This window comes from Homo sapiens, chromosome 5 (assembly GCF_000001405.40).
Source record: "Homo sapiens chromosome 5, GRCh38.p14 Primary Assembly".
Lineage (NCBI taxonomy): Eukaryota > Metazoa > Chordata > Mammalia > Primates > Hominidae > Homo > Homo sapiens.
Genome location: NC_000005.10, coordinates 9,591,833 through 9,602,097, shown reverse-complemented (window position 1 = coordinate 9,602,097; position 10,265 = coordinate 9,591,833). Strand labels below are relative to the sequence as shown.

The 10,265-nt window shown below is 41.7% G+C and overlaps 1 long non-coding RNA gene across 1 annotated transcript; it reads left to right on the top strand.

Moving 5' to 3' along the window:
- Positions 1 to 1,681: 1,681 nt before the first annotated feature.
- LOC101929359 (uncharacterized) lies at positions 1,682 to 7,281 on the top strand. The gene is made up of 4 exons (XR_001742497.2): positions 1,682 to 1,876; positions 2,955 to 3,079; positions 6,257 to 6,463; positions 7,217 to 7,281. It is a non-coding gene; the product is annotated as an uncharacterized LOC101929359 (long non-coding RNA).
- The last annotated feature ends 2,984 nt before the right edge of the window (positions 7,282 to 10,265 follow it).

Here is a 10,265-nt window from a genome sequence, read left to right as displayed (position 1 = left end):
TTACAGGCGTGAGCCACCGTGCCCCCCCAATCTCCTCTTCTTATAAGAACGCCAGCATATTGGATGACAGCCCACTCATCCAACCTCATTTTGACATAACTACCCTTTAAAGAGCTTACCTCCAAATAGAGTCACATTTTGAGATACTAGGAGTTAGGAACACATTTCAGTCCATAACAAATTAGAAGCGTTTTTTTTTTTTTTTTTTTTTTTTTTTTTTTTTTTTTTTTAGGAAAACTGTAACACTAGTTGGAGTCTGGTCACAAATAGCCTTTGAGTATTTGACCCCTCACAGCAGTGTCCTGATCCCTAAACCTGCAACAAGTACTGCACTGCAAAACCTACACCTGCTTCCCCTAGAAAGGCATTCTCCCCAATGTCCACCTAAGGTATGGCCATGGAGGAACATGATGTAGACAAGGAAGCCCCTCCCAGGGAGTGGAAATATGAGTCAGGGCGGTAGAGGACAAGAGGGGTCCTCCAAGGTTACTAAATAAGGTTGTCCAAGTGCCCACTCCGTTGCCAAGGCTGGGTCCCTGGCCAATCTCGCTTGGCAGGCAGTGCTGATAAGAGCTATGAACCAGTGACTGTCTGTGCTGTTCCCCACCCATCCCTTTCCTGAATGAGAGTTGAGAATGAATAGAAAGTAGAGACTCTAGACAGGACCAGAATAGTCCCATTCCCCCTAGATAGCCATGGCTTCTCAGCAGTTCTTTATAGAGTTGAAGTTGGTATCAAAGCCTCAAAGTTCTCTATGTGTGACTGGCTGAATGACGCCCCTCAAAGACTTCCACGTTCTAATCCCTAGCACCTGGGAATGTGACTTTACATGACAAAAGGGGCTTTGCAGGTATGATTACATTAAAGATCTAAGACAGAGAGATTATCCAGGTGGGTTGAATGCAATCACAAGGGCCCTGATAAGAGAGAAGCATGGGGATCAGAGTCAAAGAGGATGTGACAATAGAAGCAGAGGTCAGAGAGGAGAGAAGATGCTGTCTCTTTGGAGATGGAGGACGGGGCCGCAAGCTGAGGACTAGAGGAGGCTTCTAAAAGGTAAGAATCTGAATCCGCCTCAGAGCCTCCAAAGGAGCCGAGCCCAGATGACCCTTTGATTTTTAGTTCACACAGAATGATTTTGGACTTCTAACCTGCAAAATGTAAGATAATCAGTTTGTGTTGCTTTAAGTCACTTAGTTTGTGGCAATTTGTTACAGCAACAATAGGAAACCAATGACGCACCTAGGAGGTATAAATTTGTGTTACAGTGCTCATAATATAAATATAAAATATCATCTCATACTTCAGTCTGGAACTAAGCTGGCAAGAATTGGGAAGATGAAGAGATATGTGATATCAGTCATCGTTCATTGGCCTCGGATCACTTGACTATCCTGGAGGACTTAAGGGCTCCAGAAAATTTGCAAAGGATCTCCTGACTGCAGGGTAAGGGGAGAATAGCGGGTGCAATCTACTCTCAGCCCACAGTCCACACTAACTGTTCCGAGGTCAGCATATTTTTTTCAGTAGAGAGCCAGCTAGTAAATAATCTGGGCTTTGCAGACTATGTATACGGTCTCTGTCACAACTACTCAACTCTGCTTCTGAAGTATGAAAACAGCCATAGGTCATAAGTATACAAATGGGTTTGGCTATGTGCCAATGAAACTTTATTTACAAAAACAGGAGGCTGACCGGATTTGGTCCATCAGCCATGTTTGCTGACTTTTCCATAGCCCACCTGATGGTAGAACAACCTGCTCCTCACGGCATCTACTCTCTTGTGACTAATTTGATAATTTGGGTCTTTGATGCAGCCTCAAAGGTCATAGCTCCTAGAGATAAGCCTTCAAGTCACCACAAGCTACCTTCATAGGTGAGTCACAAGTGGGGTGCTACCTGGGAGTCCAGGTCTCCAGCCCAGCAGAACCCCCATTGCTACCCCTCCTCTGCCCAGTGAATCCTTCTCTGAGTAGGTTCGTCCACTCTCCTTTACCTACCCCTTCTTTATACTGCTTCACTTGTAAGAATCCAGCCTTTTTTCTCCCAATAACCACTTTGCATTTGAAAAGAGCAAAGTAAAAAAGCTTCTTTTCCTTTCATAATTGGACCACAGGAAAATAATTAATGTTCTCAGTCAGTCAATTCTGCATTTGCATATTGTATACAGTTTATTGGGTATCTAGTTAGATTGAAGTTTATTGCTTGGTAAACTTCTGGGTAATTTTCATTCAACTAAATGTCAGTCATTACCAGTCCATCCTTGTATTGTCTTTTAAAAGTCACAAGTTCAAGAACCCCACAGATAGCACTGCAGACAAACATCTAAATGGCATGCAGTGAGATTGAAACTGCAGTCCAGGTTCTCCTGGCCAGGGGTGGGAGGCCAGATGACCAGCTTTCCTTCCATAACAGCCCATTAACGGGCTTATTCCTGTCAGAGCCCACCACTCATGCCACCTGTGACCTTCCTCTGATCCGCTTCTCTCCCCTGCAGGTGGTCTGTCTGGCTTTAGGGTTCCCCGAGGTCACTGGTCTGCTAAGGATTGCATCTGAAGATATGAACTAAGCTGAGTTAAATAGGCTTATCCTGTGGAGACAAAGACACTGCCCTGGGTTTGAGCCACCTGCCTTTCCTTAGCATCAAAACAAAACAAAAACACACTCTTTGGGGCTTAATGAATATACAGCTATTCTTCAGCTTCCTGGTTTGTACTAAGCTGATAGCTAATCTTTGGCATTTGGCATATTGGGCTTAATTATGATAAAGAAAAAGTTTAATGGGTTCATCTTGAACAAAATGGTGCACTTAATGGCAATTGTAAGAATATTTTTGCTCAACAAAGCTTCTTAAAGAAATGAATTTAAAGCCTCCAAAGAAAAATTTTATTAAAATTGTATTAAGGTTATAGAAATGGCAAAGTATATTATTTTCTTCCCTTTGTGTTCTCTAGCTGTTCAACCTTCCCTCACTCTCCACACTATTGAAGGGTCCTCGCCTGCTGATGTGTCAGCTTCCCTGTTCCTAGCAAAAGCTTTGGAATGAAAAGAAGCAAACAAAGATGCCTGAAAAGCCCAGGTAAACTTATCCTCAAATCACATGTCCTGAGCATCCAGGAAGGGAAAGCTTCGGTATCAGCTGAATGACAGTAAGCCACAGAGACACTTACTGGAGGCAAATTAATCCACTGACCAACAGGAGAGGCTAGAAATGCTTTCCCCTCCAAGTTTTCTACAAGTTTTCAAAAGAAACAGTACAAATGTATGTGATATTAGCAGGAAGAAAGAGGGACATCACATTGTCCACTGTATATACAATTTGTATTAGTCAGTTATACTGCAGTAAAGATGGGGGATGGTCATGGGGGGGGTAGGGAACGACCTTAGGGATCCAGATTAGAAGTACAAAATTATCTTTTGTCTCCAAAAGAATTCTCTTTTCCCTTGAGCTCTGTGTTCTGTGTTCTTCATAAGCTGGGAGTGAATAGGGTTACTTATTCCCTTCATCACAGGCACCAGGATACTTGGGTTAGAGAGAAAACCGCCAGATGACTGGGCAACGTGTGGACCTTGAGGGCGGCTGGGTGTGACTCTGCACCTGCACACCCGACTTGGCAAGAGGCACTTGTCATCGTGGCATTTTTTTTCCCTCAGATTATATAATATGTTATATAATAAAAAGTTATATATAACTTATATCTGGAGAACTTGAAAACTCAGGTGTTTTAAAGTAGGCATGCTGGACTTTCTGTTATTCTTTTCTAATCCTTTAACATTATCTAAATTTTCTTTGAAGTCAGAGCAGGGCAACGTGATAGGGTCATGTTGACATTGCTAATTAACTTTTGTCAGCTATTGCTCTTAATTAAGGAGGCAGGTACTTGATAAAAACAGGTATTGATTGTCCTATAGAATCAGAAATAAGCCTAACACTTATTCCTGTTAACTTAAGCAATAAGTAATAGATTTTCATATTCTCTTTATTCAGGAACTGCACTCTGCTGTCCACATACTCAATTTAATGTATGTGGCACCAACATTAACTGAACAGAAAAACTGGAAGGGGGAAAAAGCAGGCACTGGATAATCAATAGGATTCAGACCTCACAAAGCCCCCGAGTCCTTTAACTAAGGGCACAACTCTGCATTGTATGCTTGAAAAGTGCTAACAGAGTAGATCTTAAATTTTTTCACCATACACAGGCAAAAAACAAAAGGCAACTATGTGAGGTGATGGATATGCTGATTAGCTTGATTATAGTGATCATACCACAATGTACTCACATATCAAAACATCACATTGTCCACCGTAACTATATACAATTTGTATTAGTCAATTATACTTCAGTAAAGATGGGGATGGTCATAGGGGAGGTAGGGCACGACCTTAGGGATCCAGATTAGAAGTACAAAATTATCTTTTGTCTCCAAAAGAATTCTCTTTTCCCTTGAGCTCTGTGTTCTGTGTTCTTCATAAGCTGGGAGTGTAGCAATAGGGTTACCTATTCCCCTCATCGCAGGCACCAGGATGCTTGGGTTAGAGAGAAAACCGCCAGATGACTGGGCAACGTGTGGACCTTGAGGGCGGCTGGGTGTGACTCTGCACCTGCACACCCGACTTGGCAAGAGGCACTTGTCATCGTGGCAATTTTTTTTTTTTTGCCACAAACAAGCAAAACATAGTTGTTGCCAGGTAAACACTTATACAATTTGTATGCTCCATGAGAAAAATGAAGAATGGAAGCTGATAGGATATTAAAATGCCAATTTAAAATACACGTCAGATCCATGTTTTTACTACATAAAGGAGAAGGTGGAAAGGGGAGGAGAACAATGGAAAATGAGAGGAAGGGAAGAGAAAGCTCAAAGGAAGAAAGTGGGAATTAAAGGGAAGGAGAAGAAAAGGCACAAAGGCCATGGTGAGGAGGGAAAGAAAAGGAGAGACTTCATATGGAGAGGCCAGTGACAGAGGAGGAGGAAGGGGAAGGGGCATAAACAAAGACCCAGAGAGAGCCTGGTGCAAATGGCCTGAGCTCCCGGTGTCACCCATGCCCCTGCTGTCTTCGGAGTAAGTTACAGCACGTTGTCACTGACCACAGTGGCACTGGTTTCCATGGAGAGTTATTCATTATGCAGATATTGAAGGAGGGCCAGCTCTTTGCCAGGTCCTGCTCTAGGTGCTGGGGGGAGACCAGTGAGGCTCTCATTCTTGTGAGACGAGAGACTTAGAAACAGCAGTGCTTTTGCCAATGAGAAACATGGTTTGTTGTCATTATAAAATGCTAAGGTTTATATTTTAAAGAGAGATTATTTTACGACCAATTTCTTAAGCATTTGCATCCATAGGAACAATTTAAGTTTTGAAGTTGTAGTTTAGACCATTAGAGAAGTCTGTATTTTTGGTGTAAAGTCTTCTTTTACATTTGAAAGCAGCCAGATAGGTTTGTGATTTGACTTGAGGTTTTAACAGGAAGGGGAATTGGGAGTGGGGGTGGGAAGAAACAGGACAAAACCATGTAACGGACCTAAAAGTTACATTTACAAACACACTTATTTCATTGTCTTGGCTTTTTCTTTCTCTAAAATCAAATCCAGATGTCTTCTTCATCCAGCAAAGTCTCAGAAAGCAGAATTATTGGCACAATGATGCAGGGAATTAAGAGAACTTTCAGGTTAAATAAAGAAGTGAAACTTAGTTCTTAACTTCTGCAACCAATCGTATCCAAATGTCAAGCTTCTCCACTCCGAAAGAGACAGCCAAGGCACGCTCCTGTATATTTGCAATGGATTAGATGGCAATGAGCTCAGCTGGGGAAGGAGCTGCTGGGCAGTCAGTTAATGCAGACCTCTTCTTTAGCATCCAGTTATGTGCTCCACAGTAGGATACGCTGGGGTGTCCTTTCTGGAGTCCTGGTGTGAACCGGGGAGAAGGTCTCCCGCTGTAGGATGGTGTCATCTGTCAAAGAAAACCACAGCTTGATAGTACACCTTGAAAGGATTAAAATGGTCAGTGTGCATTATCTATGTTTTACCACCATAGAAAATATAGTTGGTCAATATTATGTTATGTATTTCAGAACATAATTGCAGCAATAATTAGGCATCCAATATACCTTATGTTTTAAATCAATGGGAAGAATTAAATGAAATTTCACCAAATTTGAGAACGATTTGGTGAAACACTGTTGTGAACAGTTATTTTAGTACAATTTGATAAGAAAAGAAAATTCACAGTAGAAACTAATTTTTTTCGCAGAACCACAACTTCTGAGTTCGTCTTCTGATGCAGGAATATTACAATTGAGAGGAAAACAGAGATATAGAAATTACCAAGAAAAATCCAGAGCTAGCCATTATATCAGGAACGAAGAAGCCAGTCACTGTGCTCTGGAGAGACAAATTGCACATTTGACATGCAGTCACTTTGTGTAGGAAACATTACTTCTGAAGAGAATGATACCTGGTAAGAAAAACATCCTTTTCATCTTATCAAAAACAGCTCTGTACCTGGAGTGTGGAGCCAGTGTCTTCTCCCTTCATTAGAGGCTTCAAAACCTAAAAAGGCTTTCAGTGAGGAAAAGCAAAGCTATTTACAATCATTTTGTCCTCCCTTTGCCAGCTGAGCCATGTAAGTATTGAGAGCAGCTCTATCAGATTCTCAGACAAAATAAGGGTTTCTAGAAAATGCTGAAACATACTTTTATGGTAAAATAATTCACTCAATAAAATTAACAACTTATATTGAGCCCCTGCCACCTGTGATATAAACTTCTTTTTTATTTTAAACTTTATAGAACTGCAAATATTATGCATATGTTCAGTACACTTCTCTTATAAAGAGGAGGTTAACTTTACTAAATAATGAGCAAAGCCTCAATAAATGTTTCCAAATTTGATGGGGGGAGGGAATCCCCAAATTAATTCAGTGATACTACATTCAGGGGCATGTTAAGACCTCACAATCTCCTCAGACAATAAAATGCAAAGTCAGCTCTTCCTAGTGTTTAGCCTAAGATGGCTCTGCTGTTAAATAAATAATTTCTTTTTGTCTCATCTCTAAGAGGAATGAGGAAATGTGTTTATGTATTATCAAGTCACTTACTTAATGGCTGTTGACTCTGTTCCTTGTCTTTAAGTTAAATAAATACAGAGCCCTTCACATCTTCATGGAGAAATTATTTCTCCAAATTTTGATTGTATTTTATTTTTTCTTTAGGTGTTCTTTAAAGTACAACATTGGACAAACAAAAGAAAATGGAGCTAAATTATTATTGATCACCCAAGAGTCCCTCTGAGCTTGCAGAATGACAAAGATTCTTTTTTGATTAAACTTTAGTCAGGCTCCTGAACCTTCTCCTGGGCCCATCTGTGCACTTCCTTGTAAAGTTCAGTTTAGCAAGATCCCGGCCAAGTCAGTTTAGCAAGAACTCCCCACCCTCATTATCTCGTCTATATTTGATCAAGATCTTCCACCTCCACCATTCCACAGATATAGTCTGATCACCCTGGCCTGTCTTCAGTAAGAAACCCGTTAGGTCAGCTTAGCCAGAATTCCCCTTATCCTTGATGTTTATTCCTTGTAATTTTCCATCAACTGACCCCCACCATGCTCCTGGGCTAGAAATTCCCACTTGTCCAGGTTGTATTCAGAGTTCAGCCCAATCTCTCTCCCACACTGCAAAATCCCATTGCAGTAGTCCCTATGCCTGTCGAGATGATCCTGAAGAAAGTCTTTCTTACCAGGTTTTAGCAGTGATAGCAAATATCATTAAATAACTTTTCTTCTTTTTAAATATGTTTTTGAGACAGGGTTTTGCTTTGTCACCCAGGCTGGAGTGCAGTAAGTGTAAGTGTAATCATGGCTCACTGCAGCCTCGAACTCTCAGGTCCAAGCGATGCACCCACCTCAGCCTCTGAGTAGCTAGGACTACAATTGTGTGCCATCATGGCCAGCTGGTTTTATCATTTTTATTTTTTTTTTTGAGATAGGGTCTCTCTTTGTTGCCCAGACTGGTCTCGAACTCCTGGGCTCAAGTTCAACTCCTAAGGCCTCCTGCCTTAACTTCTCAAAGTGTTGGGATTACAGGCATGAGCCATGCCTGGCCCAACTTTTGTTCCTTAATAAGAGTATATATATATATATATACACTTAATATATAATATATACTTAATAAGAGTATATATTATATATATATATATAATTGACTGGATGGAATATCACCCACTGAGGACCAGGGTTGATCCTGCTAACTGGCTGGCTGGCTGTGCCTCCTTTCCCTCATTACCCAAAGTGCTCCTCTCTCCAAACCACACCTGGGAAGAAAATCAATGTGATTTTGTCAGCATCCGGTGTTGCTGATACCCCCTAGCTGCCCCCACGGTGGGAGGCACCAGAATCCACAGTATTCAGCGCCCCTTTCATGGAGGATGGCACATCCTTGAGGAGAATCTCGGGCTTGTCTTTGTCAATGAGATATGAGTGTTCTGGATAGAAGCTTTAAGAACCAGCACCTGCTCCTTTCCCATCTTGATGATGGAAACAGGGAGACCTGGGTCACCTGAGTTCTTGGATCGTGAAGATGAGCAGAACCTGTGGTGCGAGGAAGACATGCCTTTACCTGTTAGCCACTGAGATTTTTCAAGTCATTTTCACAACCTCGCCCTGTGAAAATCTATCCTTTCTAATGCCTCACCAATCACAACGGGAAATGTGGATGACTGTCTCTGTGGATTCCGTGGACTGGTAATGATGACCAGTGATATTGAGCTCAGTTGGTGTCAATAACTATTAGTGACCCACTGATTCAACCAAAAGAGGAGCTGGAGTGTCTGAGATCTGCTCAGCTGGCAATCCCACCGATCAGCGTCTTAAGCCCAGACCTGGAAATGGAGCAGTGGATTTTATGGGAAACAAACACTAATAAGGTTTGATATATATATCTCTTATTTGATAATACAATAAGGAAATTCAGATGCAAGATAAACTGGGGCAGAATGTGTCGAAAATGAAGTATTCTGTGCGTTAGCAGCTAGAAGGTCTACAGGAGTTATAGGGTAGGACTGAGACATTGAAACTGCTTCTCCAATCTGGTGTTAGTGAGCTTTACGTGTGTCTGTGTGTGTGTGTCTTCATATGTATTGTACTTTGGAGGGTAAACTTTTTATTGAGGCATAGAATACACCCAGAAATGCATACAAACCATAAGGATTCACAAATGCTACAAATCATAAGGATATGGCTCAAGGAGTTTTCACAAACTGAACACACCTTGCAACCAGAAGAAACACAGCATTACCAGCACCAGAGGATCCCCTGACATCTCCTTTCCCCTGCTTGACAGTAACTACTGACTTCTAAAGCAGATGACCTCTGCCTGCTATGTCTGGTTTCCTTTCCTCACTGTTGTGTGTGGCATTCATCTGTGTTGCATGTAGTTGTAGCTCATTCGTTATCACAGCTGCATAGCATTCGATGTGTGAATATACACTGCAATTTTTTTATCCATTCTGCTGCGGATGGGCTTTTAAGTAGTTTCCAGTTTGGGTCTATACAAACAGTGCCACTATGAACATTTTTACGCATGTCTTTTGTGAACATACTTGTTTGATTCTGTTGGCTCTAAACCCTGGGCCACAGCCATATGGTGTGTTCAGCAGTGTAAGAAGGTTTCATTGGTTCCACGTCCATACTTTTCATCGTTGGCACTTTAGCCATCCTAATGACTGTGTGGTGATACCTTCCTGTGGTCTTAATCACATTTGTCTGTTGCCTCGTGGGCGTATTTCTTTCTTCACTTTAAGTTCTGGGATACATGTGCAGAACGTGCAGGTTTGTTACATAGGTATACATGTGCCGTGGTGGTTTGCTGCACCTATCAATCCAACAGCTAGGTTTTAAGCCCTGCATGCATTAGGTATTTGTCCTAATGCTCTCCCTCCCCTTGCCTCCCACCTGCCGACAGGCCCCGGTGTGTGATGTTCTCCTCCCTGTGTCCATTTGTTCTCATTGTTCAAATCTCACTTTTAAGTGAGAACATGCTGTGTTTGGTTTTCTGCTCCTGTGTTAGTTTGCTGAGGATGATGGCTTACAGCTTCATCCATGTCCCAGCAAAGGACATGAGTTCATTCTTTTTTATGGTTACATAGTATTCCAAGGTGTATATGTGCCACGTTTTCTTTATCCAGTCTATCATTGATGGGCATATGGGTTGGCTCCAAGTCTTTACTATCGTTAATAGTGCTCCAATAAATATACATGGGCTTGT